Consider the following 16228-nt stretch of genomic DNA (forward strand, 5'->3'; position numbering starts at 1 on the left):
AGAGAGAAGCTGAAGTGGTGTTTGCGCTTCCCGGTTCAGTGATCTTAGAGAGGCAGCTCGTGGCAGGGAAGCGTGTGTGTCCATGATGCAGTCAGGATGGATGGAGCTCCCAGCGTCCCCTGCCTCTGCCCTGCTTCCTCCACAGCACGCTCTCCCTCTTGGTGTCTCTTGGCCCTCTTCTGGGCACCCGTCATCTTCTAATAACTTCCTGACTGGTCTCCTGATTTCCAGTCTCACATCCCTTCAATCCAGTTTTATGTTAAGTTCCCCAAGAGTCCTCTTTCCCCACCCAGGATCTGAACAAACTGAGAAATACAACTAGAAGTGACAGTCAGAGCTAGATATCACCTTTATTACTACTAAGACCAGGTTGGAGGAAGTGACTGTCTCTGTAGGTTGGTGGGCCTGCTGAGACTGAACCCCAGCATGAGGCTGACTCCCCCTGAGTGGCTGGCAGCACTGGCCAGTGTGGTCCCCTGGGAGGAGGGGTCAGGCAAGCCTCGGGGAGGGAGGGTGGAGCAGAGGCCTGCTGCCTTGAGATGGGGGAAGAGGAGGTCGGGCTGGAACTGTGCATCACCTGCTCAGTTGCCCCCTGGCCACTGTGAGTAAGGGGATGGAGAGAGGCCAGGAGTAACCCGGAGTGGGGAAGAGGCCCACTCATGCCATCTCACAGCTCTGCTTCCAGAGCGAACCCAAACCTGATCATCTTGCTCTCCCACTTAAAATCCTCAGTGCCACCCCTCACCTTCAGGAGAAAGAGCCCAGATCTTCTTTGGAATGACATGAGCCCCAAGGCCTGGCTCCTGTCTGCCTCTCTCCCTTTTCTCTCTGCTCCCCCGCCTCACACCCAAGGTAGCCATGCGAACCACTTTGGGTTCTACTGGTGTTTCTTCCTGTTCCTGTCTCTTCCTCTCTCTCTCACTCCTGGCCAGCACCCTCTCCATCCGTAAGCCTCAGCTTGTGTGTGTCCTCATGTCTGTGGAGCCATCCTTGACCTTCCTTCCTCTCAGCTCAGAGTTATCGTGTCCTTCTAACATCCCAGACTGCTCTCTTAGCACCTGCAATGCTTGGCTGCTTTTTTATGTGAACATGCATCTCTTTCTCTGCTCAGTGTAGATTTCTTGAAGGCAGCATCTTAATGGTCTTGTTCTCTCCAGCCCCTAGCACAGTGCCCGGCACAGAGGAGCCCGTACTGATGGAGAAGTGTGAAGAATCACACACTGGCTCACATGTGCACGGCATTTGCCAAAACACCCTCTCGGTGCTGGCACCTGACCTGTACATGAAGTGAGGCTGGTCATTCAGACACATTTCAAGCCTACCTTTCTGGGGTTTATAATCTAGAAAGAACAATGGTCTTGAATTATCCATTCCATATGCAGATTGACTCTTGCCCAGAAACTTTCAGGGCTGTGTATTTGTTCTTGAAACAGGAATAAATAAATCTTTAGCCAAGAAACCAGCTTTTCTGGTTTTCTTTGCTTTTTGGACAATTTAAAGCCTAAATGGCCTCTGTTCCTTCCAGGAGAACACTTATGATCGTATTTCTTTGTATATAGCAGGGATAGTACTGAATAATAATTGTTGCTATATTTGTTCTATTGGTGCAATTCAGAGAAGACTACATTTGCTTAAATGATTGTTTGCTTGTAAACTATGGGAGCTTTCAGAATTGGTTAGGGACATCTACCCATGCTTCCATACATGGGAATATGAAAGTTGGCAGTGATGTTGAAATTGATGTTGGAATTGGATATGGGTGCACTGCTCACTGCTTAGAGGAGTGGGGTGTGTGGGAAGAGGGATGAGTTTAGTTTCAGGATAGGTAGAGATGGGAATATGTAAACAAAGCCTAAAAAAAGCAGAGGCTGTAATCAGTGGGGGTGCCTGTGAGCACAGCAGGATCCTAATCTCCATGGACCGGGAGCCAGCTAGACAGACAGATTTTTACCCTGGAGCTCCTGCATTTCTGCCTCTGCCGATCCTTCATTTACATTACCCTCTGCAAAGTTTACACTTCTCTAGAAAGGGCCAAAGGCCTAGAGAAACAAGGCAATCACAGGTAATTCAAGTGAGGATTTTTTGAGGCTTGCATGCTAAGAAAAAGAAAGTAACTGAAGAAAGAAATTACCTGAGCTGAAGTATTCATTCTTAGCGATGTAGCCTCTGAGAGAAGAGGTGAGAAATGTCAGAAGGGGTAAGTGAGGATGGAATAAGAAAAGCAAAGGAATGTAAACATTGGTCCAGGTAGACAGAGCAATGAGAAAAACAGGAAGAAAGAAAGAAATCCTGGATCAGGGTTCCTGCGTTGACTTGAGAATCGTGGTGGTCTCTCCTTTTCAAATCAGCAGTTAGAAATTGTTGGGCTACAATATCTGACAACCATGGAGGGTGGGCTGGCCTCCAACTCAGATGTCTGAACTGTGTGCCTGCTCCTGCAGTTGCCTTGCAAGTATAGCAGAACTCAGAAACACATCCTAATATGGATGTGTTTACATGGGAAAGCCAGTGTTTAAAATATTATTCAAGTCTCCAAGGATGGAAATTATTTCTGGAGAATTATATTTGTTGGTGGGAGCTATTTTAAATAGTTTCATGTATTTTCCTCCTGTGTTTCATTAAAGTTTTTCATTTTCTTTCCTTTTGGATTTTAAAACTATCAACTGGCTTTGCAAAAAGGTATTTCTTATAGGACCAACCAAAGAAAGATTTAAACAGTGATGGGAAAATATAATTGAAGCCCAGAACTGGGTTCTATGTTCGAAGCAATAATAACTCTTCTTTCCCTGGGAATCTCTCCTAGGCAGAATGATGCAGCCACACTTTTTTGTTATTGTTGTTGCTGTTGCTGTGAGCCCATGAGGAGAGCATCTGCTCACGGCTTAACTACATGAGCAATAAACTATGATACATTCATGAGTGGAGATTTGTGTCACAAGAAGACAAAGCCTGATACATGTTGAGTAATTTTCATAATAGCTATTGAGTTCCATGACAATTAGGCATAAATGATAAGCAGTTGGTATAAATGACAGAAATAAATTTTTATGGAACCAAACAGGATTTTTATAATTTCTCTCTTTTTGTTTAATTATTCAGAATCTATAAAGAGGGAATGTTGGCCATTTCCCTGGCAGCATGTGCACCTTAATGACCATTTCACACTTACATGCAGATAGGGAAGCACAGGACTCTGTGGGACACGTGCCCTGTCCCATAGCCTAGGACTGTCTCCTAACACCCCTCCTGACATCGGGCATGTGGAGGAGGGACTGGGGTGGTCTCTTCCTTTCAGGGAACAGTCTAGAGCTAAGGGGAGCAGAGTGCGTAATAGGTGTCTTCTCTGCATCCAGGGCTGTAGATGCTGAATATTGCCATCTTTGGGGACCACAGTACTCAGCTCCTTAGCGTGGAGGGGGCTTGGCATGCCTTGGACCTGGTGACCTTTCACCTGCCAATAAGCTTTGACCTGCAGAGTTAAGGAGAAGGTTTACAATGCAAAGAACCTTGAAAGATGTAAGCCTGTTAATTGCATGGATTGGGCGGGGGTACAGTGGCAGGTACAAGCATCCCAGATCTGAAGAGGGGCAAAAAGAGTGTCACCCAGGGACAGGAGGGCCCAGAGTGGGGAGGCTGAAACACCAGAGGCCTCCTTTAGGACAATGGTTAAGGGGTCTTCCCCTTGCCTTCCCTTCTACTTAGCAAATCAAGGCTGTGTAGGGAGTTATTTTAGATTTGCCAGGCATGGGAGCACACAGAAGGAACATGGTCTCGGTTCCCTTAGTTAGAAGAGACCGGCCCTCGGTGGCTCTGAGGTTTCCTGGAACACAGTTGCAGCCTTGGTCATCGCTGTCCCATCCCTGTGGGACTGATAAAATTAGTGTCCTGTTTCCAGAGAGCCAGTCACAACTCATTCCTTTTTCTTTTTAACCCTTTATTTGTAGTGCTATCTTGTGGGTTTTTAATTTAGCAGTAAAAATCCAGGCTTGGATATTTTGATGATATGTTAGCTTGGTGCCAGTATATCAGTCATTGCCACCACCATCCTTCTGGTCACCGCAGCCCAGACCCTGAGAGTTGCATCTGATTACTCCCATTCCCATGCCCCTACGCCCATTCAGTAGCCGAGTCCTGTTCATTTTATCCCAGCAGTATGTCTCAAATCTGCCTCTGGTTTTCTGTCCTCACTGCCAGTATCCTACTTGGTTCCTGTTTGCCTTGGACTATTGCATTGGTTTTCTAGTCGGCCTCCCTGCCTTAAGGCTTTCTCCTTTCAATCCACCTCCTACTCTGCTGCAAGAGCAGTCTCTGAAGCTTAACTCTGATCATGTCACTTCTCCAACTGAAACCTTCCATCCCCTACATCCTGCCAAATGACCAGCAGCCTGCTTCGGTCCAGCCCATCTCCCAGTCCTCCCACCATGTGCTGCAGCCACACTCTTCCATCTTCCTTCTCCTTCTTATCCTTCCCCAACCACCCCCCACTCCTCCTCCTCCTCCTCCTCCTCCTCCTCCGCCTCCACCTCCTCCTCCTCCTCCGCCTCCTCCTCCGCCTCTGCCTCCTCCTCACACTGGGCATCCCCTTCAGCTTCGCTTCCGGTTGTCTAAATCTTCCAGGTACTACAGCAAATTGGTTAGGGACATGAACATTCTGAAGACACACGGGCCAGAGTTCTAGTCCCAGAACTTACTAGCAGTGTGATCTTGGGGATGATAATAGCATCTACGTCGCAGAGTTGCTGTGGGGATCCCATGAGATCACCTGTGTAAAGCGCCTGGCACATAGTAAGTGAGCAGTCAGGTTGGCTGTTGGTTATCCTCTTCTTCACCATTATCCTTCAATGAATGGCGCCTCAGGTGCCACCTACTCCATGAAGCCTTCCTTCTGTTCCAGTCTGAGGAGAGCATGCACTAATGGGGCTGTCACATGGGGTATCTGCCAGCCACTCAGGCAGTTTCACATGGTAGCCCTCAGTTGAGTCCTCATGTTTCAGGGACAGGTCAGGCTTAATAATTAAACCTCGAGTGACTGGTGTCTTGATGATGAAGAGATGCTTCAGCACGCCATACCAGATTGCTATATAAAACCTAGTTTTTAGTTTTTAACAGGATAGTCACTTTTTAGTAATCAGAATGAAGTTCCCTGCCCTTTCTTAATATGAGGGTCTCAGGAAAGCCAAAATAGGAATCCGCAACTCCTGTCCTTTTGACGTTGCTGGTTGTAGAGCCACAGCTTCCACAGCTTTTCTCTCTCTGCACCTCAGTGTTCACCTGTTCACACTGCCTGTCTTTTGATGGGTTAAATGGCTGATAAGTAAGAATGGGCCAAGGACCTTCTGCAATAGAGTCTCCTGAGACGACAATTAAAAATGTAGGCTGGGCGTGGTGGCTCACACCTGTAATCCCAGCACTTTGGGAGGCTGAGGCAGACAGATTACCTGAGGTCAGGAGGTTAAGACCAGCCTGGCCATCATGGTGAAACCCCGTCTCTACCAAAAAATAGAAAAATTAGCCGGGCCTGGTGGCACGCGCCTGTAATCCCAACTACTGGGGAGGCTGAGGCCCAGGAGGTGGAGGTTGCAGTGAGCCAAGGTCACGCCACCGCACTCCAGCCTGGGCAACAAAGTGAGACTCTGTCTCGGGAAAAAAAAAAAAAAAAAAAAAAAATGTAGATTCCTTGGCCGACTCTCACACCTTCTGAATCAAAATCTTTGAGGGTTGGGCCCAAGAATCTGCATTTTAGCAGGCTCACCCAAGGGCTCTTTATGTGCTGTAAAATAAAGCTTTCAGTCACTTACTTAGAGTCTGGTTCTGTGGGCCTGAAAGAAATTCTGTCTTTGTGTGTCTGCTTCATTTATCGACCTCTTCGTATTCCTGGGCACTCTTCCTGTTGCCCCTGGGCTCTGTTAAAATGTTATATCTTCTACCTGTGTTATAGAATGTGCTACCGTGTTACCCTGATCTGTCTTCTCACCTACACTGTATCACCCGGCCCCACCTAGCACTTAATGCAGAAACTTATTAAATATGGGTTGAGTGAATGGTTATTAGACATTTCATTCAAATTGTATAGACTAATCAGGTTAACCTATAGGTTAACCTTAGCCAAAAACTCATCTAAAATGTAAGTAAGCTATACTTAAAGGCTTAGAACTTTATAATAATGTATCCTGATTCTGTACTGAAAACTTATTTGGTATATTTGATTGCTCTTAAGGGAATGCTAAGATATTACATTCTTGGCACGGTTCTTTAGTTTTAGCTTAGAGCAATAGGAAATACTATGCTTTGTCATCTGCAGTATAATTTATGGATTAAAAATACTTCATTCAGCCAGAATTTATTCCAAGTCAAAGTTTTAAAACTTTGTGAATAGCTATCTCATGTACCCTTTAAATTAACTTAGACTCCAGATAAATCTTCTTCTTAAAATAACTTCACTGCATAAGAAATATATATAATATCCTACAGCATGAAACTTCGGATTTGTTCCTGTAGACACCCATGGTAAGTATCAAACAGTGATGTAGGCTTTTTGAGTTACCTGCTCTTAACCCCATGATGAAGCATTTGGAAGAGAATTTCCATCTATACTTCTTTACTTTGTGGTTTGAATAGAGATTCTCAGGCTTTGTAAAAATTGTTCTCCTCTCAGGACAGTGACAGTAAGAAAATTTCAGACAGACAATTTTAAAGGAAAAGAAAAAGGAACCAAATTTAGTTTCAAATTAGCTATACCTATTTTTAGTATAAATGATAAAGCACCTTAAATGAAAATCAGTGTATCAAAAGTGCCTTAGAATTTTCAAAATTCTATTTCAAATCATAAAGAGTTACTGATTCATAAATTCATGAAAATGAAAGTACCACATAAAAGTGTTTTCTTTTTTTCTTTTTCCTTTCCCGCTAGGTTTCTGTGATGGTGAGAATAATGGACATGGGGAAGGTATGAACTGATTTTACCTACCTATATTGGAGTGGGATGCTGATTAGTGGACATAACCTTTCAATACCTTTACTAATAAATATTCATGTTTTCAGGACTCCCCCAAATGCTGACAACTGCTGATTGGCTTACTTTTCAGAGAGCCTCTAGAAAATTAAGGCTAGCCATGTTCAGGGCCAGGAGAAAGGAAATATGTGGTTGCATTACAAAGGTTCCTTTTTATCTAGGTCCCCACAGTCACAAGGTTGAGCAAGGAACCAAAAATTGTAATCACATGAAAATATGAATGAATTGGCCTGGCACAGTGGCTCATGCCTGTAATCCCAGCACTTTGGGAGGCTGAGGTAGGTGGATCACTTGAAGTCAGGAGTTCGAGACCAGCCTGACCAACATGGTGAAACCCCGTCTCTACTAAAAATACAAAAATTAGCCGGGCGTGGTGGCACGTGCCTGTGGTCCCAGATACTCAGGAGGCTGAGGCAGGAGAATCGCTTGAACACGGGAGGCGGAGGTTACAGTGAGTTGAGATTGTGCCACTGCACTCCAGTCTGGCGACCGAGCGAGACTCCGTCTAAAAATAAATAAATAAATAAATAAATAAATTAATTAATTGATCACTTAAACAATTAGTTATTCCAGTAGTCTACCCATTTAGAACGTCTTCGTTGACAGATAACAATGCCAGGAAAATGCAAATTGGTTATGAAATGAAAATGCAAACCTTACATAAGATACTGAGTTTCGTAAAGCCAATTAAAACATTGTTGGAGATCTATGGAAATGACACTCAAAGCCATTGACAAATGAGGGTCAGACACAGTTCATTTATTTACTCAGTACCAGGGACTGTTTTCTTTTCTCTAAATCTTTATAATCTGGAATTTAATTTTTATAATCTAAAAATAAACAACTAAATTAGGTTTATATGTCACAGAGGTGAGACCCTAGGGGGGACATGATGAATGAGGAGCATCTTGCAAGACGCACAGCTCTCTGTCATCATCCTGCAGCTCCTTTTCTGGGCAAGCCCTTTTAGGCCATGAATAAAATCACAAAAAGGTAAAACATCAATAAACATCTAATCCACTAGAACAGAAATTAATAAATGGCTTCAAGGTTGACTGCATTCCTTCAGTGCTTCGAAGAATTCCCAACAAATCTTGGATATGAAAAGGGACTAAAAACAATGAACTCTAAGAAAACAGTCCCCATTAAGGCACTGGAGTCTGCCCCAACCATGTTCTTATAACCAACCTCTTGTGAGAAGTAGCCTTGAGCTGTGTGTGATGACACCTTACTCAGTCCTTCAAACTTTTCCCAGCATTTGACAGTACCTTTCAGGGCAATTTTTATTTATTTTTATTTATTTTTATTTTTATTTTTTTTTTGGAGACGGAGTCTCGCTCTGTCGCCAGGCTGGAGTGCAGTGGTGTGACCTCGGCTCACTGCAAACCTCCGCCTCCTGGGTTCAAGCGATTCTCCTGCCTCAGCCTCCCGAGTAGCTGGGACTACAGGCACCCACCACCACACCCAGCTAATTTTTTTTTTTGTATTTTTAGTAGAGATGGAATTTTGCCGCATTGTCCAGGCTGGTCTCAATGATTATCATTATATTAATGATTAAGTCAGGTAACATTTGAAGAAAAGAGAATCAACAAGGATGTTGACAAAATACGCTCTTCAAAAGAGAGTGATGTAAATATCAGGATTAAGAGAGACACCTGGGAACACTGACAAAGCATGGCCTGGTTTAGCAGAAATGACTGCTGCCCTGGTGGTACTGGACAGGTTGCCTGAAGAGCATTGTATCCTCCCCTTACCGTGCTGTCAAATAAGTTAGACCGCTACCCATACTTAATTCATTCTAGAAGTCCACAACTGCATTTATATCATCAGTTTTATTAAATACAAGATAAACTTATTTTAGAGTTTTTGTTTCAAAGTCTTTTCTCAAAATTTACTAGGAAAGTTTGGGCCCTGTGTCATGTGACTTCTTTCTGGGGTCCATTATTCTTGGGTACCCGGCCATCTTGTGTGGGGCTAAGACAGGATAGTCATGACAGTCACACTGGAGCTTCTGTGGCCACTGGAACTCAACAGCATTCCTGGTTCTGAGTAGTCACTGGTGTCCCTAACTTGGAATCCCCTTCCTGACATCAGATCACTTAACTCCTGAGGGCTGGCCCTTGTTTTCTGGTCTCTTTCTGAGAATAAAAAGTATTTACTTGTTCTGTGACCCAGCATTCTTGTTTTACCTGGCACGACTGAGAGAGTTAAAGCAGAAAGCCCTGGAATGGTCCCTTTATACAGGTTGTTTCATAGCATTAAAGAGCCAACAGCCGTCCCGGCAGCTGCCCAGCCTCAGATCCTCTTGGTTGTTGGTTCCTCTTTGTCCCCCATTTCCATCCCACAACCAAGGAGCTTCACTGCCACCATGTCTTCCAGCTAATACTCCTCTTCTCAATACTTTCCCCATTTCATCGTTGTTGCAGGTTCTCTCCTCATCCCTCTTCTTCCATTCTCTCCTTTGCCAAGCCTGCAGAGCCCCCCTGCCCTGGCCTCAATTGTCTACATTTTACTTCCTACCATCCCCTTGACTCAGCCTACACTCCAGTTGAAAAGAGTTGCTCCACTCTTACCTTCCCCTCTCTTGGAATTCCCTTCTCCTGTGTCTCTAAAGGGCTCCCCCCAGTGCCCAGCTCCAAAGCCCTCCTGGCCTCTTCCTCTTCTGCACTTCATCTCTCAGCAGCATCATACCCTCGGCTCTCTCGGGCTTCCACTCGTTTTTTCCTTCAGTGATCGTTATTTATGTGTTGCCCTTATCCACTGACTAGATTACACATTCGTGAAAGGTTGAATCCATGTCTTACTCATTTCTGCAACTCCCACAGTAGTGCCCAAAGTGGCTTCCCTAGTAGACAGTCCATAAATGAGTCATTTTTGTGTGTTAAATAAGTCAAACATTTTATTTGTTAAATCAGTTTTTACAAAGATAATTTGTTCAGCCAAAGGTAGGTAGGATGGATGCTTTCTCTTTTTGTTGTTGTCTTTGTTTTTTTGGGACAGGGTCTTGTTCTGTTGCCCAGCCTGGAGTGCAGTGGCACCGTCATGACTCAGTGCAGCCTCAGCCTCTCAGGCTCAAGGAGACCTCCCACCTCAGCCTCCCAAGTAGTTGGGACTACAGGTGTGAGCCGCCACACCCAGCTAATTTTTAAATTTTTTGTAGAGACGGGGGTCTCACTATGTTGCCCAGGCTTGTCTCAAACTCCTGGGCTCAAGCGATCCTCCTGCCTCAGCCCCATAAAGTGCTAGGATTATAGGCGTGAGCCACCGTGCCCGGCCTGGATTCCTGCCTTCTCATGCAATGACTGTGCTGCTTTTTTTTTCCCTTTAGTAGCATCTTTCCCTGGCCCATTGAAAGAAGAGAATCTGTTAAATGTTCCGAAGCCACTGCCAAAACAACTGTGGGAGACCAAGGAGGTGGGTGAACAGTACTCAGCTATGTTTGTTGTCACTGAATGTTTGTACTTAGAGGTCATTGAAAAATCCTGCAGAGGTGAAAGCAAGAGGAACTGGGGGAAAAGGAGAAGATTTGTCTGAGAACAGAGATAAGAATATACAAGGGAAGGACGTTTCAAGTAAAAATTATCGCGCTTGTGTCAATGAATTAGCACATTGATCTCTTGGCTTACTAATTTTCATATGAATTGACTTATTTAAAAAAAAAAAAAAAACCCTGCTAAGTCCTCCATATCTTATTTGTTTTGCTAAAAGCTCTGAAACCTGGTTGTAAGTCATAGGCAGATTTTTCTGTTTTTTTAGCCAGCACTTTATACCAGTCTCCAGCTTCTGTCCAGAATTACTGGTATACCAGATAGCTCTTTTTAACTCAAGGGCATTTGACCTGAGTCCTCCAAGAGTCAGTAGACAAGTCATCTGTTTTACTATGATTTCCATGCGCCTTTGAGAATTTGTATCTAAAATTGTGCTAGCTGACCTCCACCTCGGCTCTCTAAACCTCACCCACTGTGGAAGAAAGGGGAGGTCCCACGGTACTTGCCTTGGCCTTTCTTCCCAGAGGGAAGCTGTGTTGACTTTGAAAGAAAACAGTTAATCTGTTCCAGCCCTTAAGGATGCTCTATTGCAATTGTTTGTATTGCCTGTGTACTTAACTATCCCCACCTGTTTAGGATCCCTTTGGCCCAGTTCCATTTTCTTCTGCCAAGTCTACCAGAGTCACCATTAGCATTAGTTGTCTTAAAAGGCTTTTTGTAAAAGCAAGATGTATTTGATGTTTAATCATTTGGGAAGTAAAAAAGAGATATGATTTAAAATTTACATATTTAAACACAGGAGAAGCAACCACACTGTCTTTTGGCTGTGAGAGGCACATGTGGTTGTGGAGGCTTTTATCAGAGGATAACTATGTCTTCTCCACCAAAGAGGGCAGTGGTGTGCCCTCCTCCCTGAGTACCAGGGACTGGTCTCTGGAAAGAGATGTTCATCTCCCTTGGTTCTTGTGGATTTGTAATACTCATTCCTGTCCGTCTGGAGCTTATATTCTAGTTGAAATAGCTTAGTTTCTTCTGACATTCATTTCTTTTTTCACCCTGCTTTTTTCTTTTATTTATTTCATTTCCTCTCAAGCCAATTGGAAAAGAAATGTTTATTTAAAAGCTCTATGTCGTCCAGACCCAGTGGCTCATGCCTGTAATCCCAGCACTTTGGGAGGCCGAGGCGGGTGGATCACCTGAGGTCGGGAGTTTGAGACCAGCCTGGCCAACATGGTGAAACCCCGTCTCTACTAAAAATACAAAAATTAGCCGAGTGTGGTGGTGCATGCCTGTGATCCCAGCTACTCGGGAGGCTGAGGCAGGAGAATCGCTTGAACCCAGGAAGCGGAGGTTGCTGTGAGCTGAGATGTGCCACTGCCACTCCAGCCTGGATGACAAGAGTGAAACTCCGTAAAAAGCTCTATGTGTAAAACATTGGTCTTTTAATGTTAATCCAGAAGGTAAATTGATAAGGCATCAAATTAGGAAAATGTATTAATATTATGCCTCCCTTAGGCCTGGAAGTTTGAGTTTAAAAAAGTCATGCCAAAACCTAAAAGGCTGCTGTGTGAGGACTCTGTCGACACGCAAGCTCTCACTTGCGCCCACTAGAGCCTCAAGGTCCTTACGAAGACACTTTTCAAAAACTTGAATTTGGCTTTACAGCGAGTAAGCCCAGCTTTCATTGTCTCTTCTCAGATTCAGTCCCTGTCAGGACGCCCTCGATCCTGTGATGTTGGAGGTGGCAAGTAAGTAATATTCTTTCTGTTCGTGTTTCAGGGACTATCCTGAAGGTTTTTCCCAAAAGTCTCGCTGCTTTGTTACAGAACTCTCAGAAACGTAACTTGCTATGCATAAATTGAAAGTCAACTGCATTTTCATAAAAACAGCCACTCTCTTTTGATACTCATATTTCATCTGTTTAAACTAATTAAATTACATGACTATAATAACAAACAAAACTTACATAAGTATGTTTGAGAATCACACAACTGACTCTTGGTAAATACACAACTCTCCGGGTAGAAGCAGTGTCAGAAGCAGAAACGTGCAGGAATCGAGAGGAGCCTACCAGCCCCGAGCTGTGGCAGGCTGTGGGCATCGGTGACATCCTGGCCAGGGGAAAAGGGAAGCATCAGTTCACCTGGCAGCTTAATGGCACAGAAGTTAATTAAGAGAGTTTCTGTGAATGTACTTAATGTCACTGAACTGTACACACAGAAATGGTTAAAATGGTAAATTTTATGGTATATTTATTTTACAACAATTTAAAAACATAAATGGAAGATAAATATATTTTCCATTTGCAATACAAAAAAGTTTCTATGAAACCATTAATTTGTTAGTGGATTTAATAGTATGCAACTTCACTCCCTAAAAGGTTTGAGACAACTTACAAAAATATAGTACAAGCAAATGAAAAAGGAAGTTCATGAGGAAGTTGAGTCTAAGAGAGAACGAGGAGATGAGAGAGATAATGAGGCCCTTGCCTTAACAGAAACTGCCTTGGGAGGGCCGGCTGGTGTGCTGCGTGGGACGGTACAGACAGCTGCTGGGGAGGTTCACAGAGAGGACCCCTTGGAACTCGATGGGCTGTGTCCTGAGAGAGCCCCAAGGAGGCTTCCTGGGGCTGTTTATCATAGTGTCCGTGAGAGCAGTCCCACCACTTGGAACTGAAGCCAATTCAGAAACAGCAAGGCTGCAGGGCCAAAATAATGTGGTTTGGAAATGGGATTCTTGCATGATCTGACTTAGTACATACAATCACCAGTGGGTCAGTGGGTGAACTAAATCCACTTCAAGCAGTCATTGAATGTGATTTCCCCCAACAGAGCTTCCTGTGAGTATCTCACAGCAGCGCAGTCAAGGCACTCTCTACTGAGTACCTGGAGCTCAGACATTCTTTCTGGCAGGTTAAACGTAAACTCAGGTGATTTGCTGAGCTGCGCCACGGGTTGATGTTTGCTTCAGAAAGTGGGCAAGCCTGCCAGGACGCATGCCCAACAAAAGACAGGCCGCCGAGAGGTGCAGGACATTCCCATGGAAGGGGCAAGCTTTTCCTCAAGGGAGTCTCCCTCAACCTAGTCTGGTTCAGGGGCTTCCTGGTAAAATGGAAATTTGGAAACAAAAACAAAAACAAAAACAAACATTTTCCTCAAGAATCAATTTTGGCTTAACCATCAGATAACCTTCAGGCTCTGAAAGCCTAACATTATAGAATTGGGCTGCAGTACTTTAGCCCTCAAGAGGTTTTTGTTGTTGTTGTTTAGTTAGTTTGTTTGTATTTATTTATTTATTTGAGATGGAGTATCGCTCTGTCGCTCAGGCTGGAGTGCAGTGGCATGCTCTTGGCTCACAGCAACCTCTGCCTCCCAGGTTCAAGCGATTCTCCTACCTCAGCCTCCCAAGTAGCTGGAATTACAGACGTGCACCACCATACCTGGCTAATTTTTTTATTTATAGAAAAGATAGGGTTTCACCATATTGGCCAGGCTGGTCTTGAACTCCTGACCTCAGGTGATCCACCCACTTTGGCCTCCCAAAGTGCTAGGATTACAGGCATGAGCCACCATGCCCAGCCTGTTTTGTTTTTAAAGATAGATAGGGCCTTGCTATGTTGGCCAGGTTGGTCTTGAACTCCTAGTCTCAAGTGATCCTCCCAAAGCACTGGGATTACAGGTGTGAGCCACCATGCCTGGCCAACCTGGAGAGTTTTAAAGCAGGTGTTTCTTAGGTAGAGAAAGTTGCTTTCTTGCTCTTACTTTACAGATAGAATTCCATTCAGTGACTTCTAGTCATGCAGATATTTATTGACCCCCTAATTCTTGGCACTGGGTTAAACAATGAACAAAACAGATCAAGTTCCTGCTTTCGAGGAGCTAATAATCTAGTAGAGCAAGATGGGCAGAAACAAATAAGCAAAGCACAGCAAAAGTCATGTGTGGGTAAATGCACTGAAGGAGACGCAACTGTGGCAGGTGGACAGGCAGCCACCAGCGGGCGTTGAGGAAACCTTTCTGATAGTGTGAAGCGACGCAGAGAGGGCTCCAGGCAGCAGGAACAGCAAGTGCAAAGACCCCAAGGCAGGAGTGGGCCTGGAGTTCAAGGAGGCTTGTATTGCTTGGATCTGACGCAGAGAAGATGGGAGTCGTTAGAGGGTCTTGAACCGGGGGGCGCATTACTTTCCTTAGATCAGTGGTGACTCCGTTAGGTAGTAACTATATTTGGAAAGGAACCACCTGTATTTCTCCCAGCTGCAGAGGAATTGTGTGAACGTTACTAATGACCTGTTTCACAGTGGTCACATTTTTTCCATCCTTGCTCTGTGCTGTTGGACGCTTCTCCCTGCCGCGCCCCTGCTCTCTCTGCCTTCACTCCCACCTGATCACCCATGGATCTTTCTTCTCAGTCAGAAAGCCCATCTGCTGTCACGTTGAGGGCTCTGAGGTCTCAATTTTATTTTTCTAGTCCTTGATCTTTAACCCTATAAACAGTTCCATACTTCCAGCCATCTAAGACAAAATTCAGGCTGGGCGCAGTGGCTCATGCCTGTAATCGCAGCACTTTGGGAGGCTGAGGCAGGCCGATCACTTGAGGTCAGGAGTTCAAGACCAGCCTGGCCAACATGGCGAAACCCTGTCTCTACTAAAAATACAAAAATTTGCTGGGTATGGTAGTACATGCCTGTAATCCCAGCTACTCGGGAGGCTGAGGCAGGAGAATTGTTTGAACCCGGGAGGCAGAGGTTGCAGTGAGCCAAGATCGCACCACTGCACTCCAGCCTGGGCGACAGAGCAAGACTCTGTCTCAAAAAAACACAAAATAAAATAAAAAGACAAAATTTATATTCAGTTTTTCTACAACCAAAATGAGCCTTCTTCCTCACCCTCCGGTTGGACACCTCTCCTGCTGCCTCATTTCTTTCCAAAACTCCACAGTTCGCCCAGTCCTACTTTTACCAAGAAAAGTGAGGCGAGGCTGGCAGGAGTGAGTGCTCAGCTCTCTTCTGCCACTGATTCCCCCGTCACCACCCTTCTCTGGTCCTAGGGACACCGAGGTCCCTCCTAGTCAGGCCGGCCACTTTACCACTCCCTGGCCCTCCTCCCGCTGGATTTGTGGAGGCCTTTCTCTGCTAGTTAACTGTCCCTCATCTCCAGAATTCTCCGCCATGCTTTCTGAAAGCATATTTACTCTCAGGTGTTCCTTCCTGCTTACCCATCATCAGCCCACCATGCCCTGGCTGCCACCTCTGCTGTTCAGTGGAACCTTGAGAATGTCGGTTGCCTCCTGTACGTAACTGAGAGAGAAATATCCCTGCTGCATGTCTTCCTAGTGAGCAGAAACTCAAAGCCAAAATAGAATTCGTGATCTCATCCATACCCCTGCCCTCATTCCCAATCTGCTCACATCTTCAGTGTCCCCTGTCTCAGTGAGGGGCTCCACCAGTCCCCAGGCTAAAGGCCCCAGAGTTGTTCTTGAGTCCTACTTCCCTGTCTCTAGAGTCTAGCCTGCCTCTCCCTCCCTGCGCTCGTGGCCTCCTGCTGGAGCGTTCAGCAGAGTCATAGCGGCCTCTCCACCTCCAGGCCTGCTCCGTGCACCCCAAGACCCCTTCCCCAAGTCTGTTAGCCACGCTGTCCTAAGAAAAGCTGATACCTCTCCCCCACCACACTGCCCACCCCGCGTCCAGCCTTCCACTGGCGTCGTGTCAGCCTCTCATCAGTCCCAGCCT

General features: G+C 45.2%; 1 protein-coding gene and 1 long non-coding RNA gene across 3 annotated transcripts in view, besides 1 other annotated feature; one reads left to right on the forward strand and one right to left on the reverse strand.

Moving 5' to 3' along the window:
* CRTC3 (CREB regulated transcription coactivator 3) overlaps positions 1–16228 on the forward strand; it is a 115423-nt gene that overhangs the window by 77620 nt on the left and 21575 nt on the right. For both annotated transcript variants that reach the window (NM_022769.5, NM_001042574.3), the window contains exons 7-9: positions 6911–6946; positions 10341–10426; positions 12199–12248. In NM_022769.5, the coding sequence (NP_073606.3) occupies positions 6911–6946; positions 10341–10426; positions 12199–12248 (172 nt within the window). The remainder of the gene's footprint in view (positions 1–6910; positions 6947–10340; positions 10427–12198; positions 12249–16228) is intronic.
* The window catches only part of CRTC3-AS1 (CRTC3 antisense RNA 1), a 97132-nt gene continuing 93370 nt past the window's right edge, over positions 12467–16228 (reverse strand). The window contains exon 4 of the long non-coding RNA NR_120372.1: positions 12467–12611. This is a non-coding gene — a long non-coding RNA (CRTC3 antisense RNA 1). The remainder of the gene's footprint in view (positions 12612–16228) is intronic.
* Positions 13264–13313: an enhancer, noted in NCBI's record as "active region_10081". NCBI's record gives its function as "activates an Ori minimal core promoter by ATAC-STARR-seq in GM12878 lymphoblastoid cells {active_cell/tissue: GM12878}" and the evidence as "EXISTENCE:reporter gene assay evidence [ECO:0000049][PMID:35858748]".

The sequence above is a fragment of the Homo sapiens genome, chromosome 15 (genome assembly GCF_000001405.40).
Source record: "Homo sapiens chromosome 15, GRCh38.p14 Primary Assembly".
NCBI classification, from domain to species: domain Eukaryota; kingdom Metazoa; phylum Chordata; class Mammalia; order Primates; family Hominidae; genus Homo; species Homo sapiens.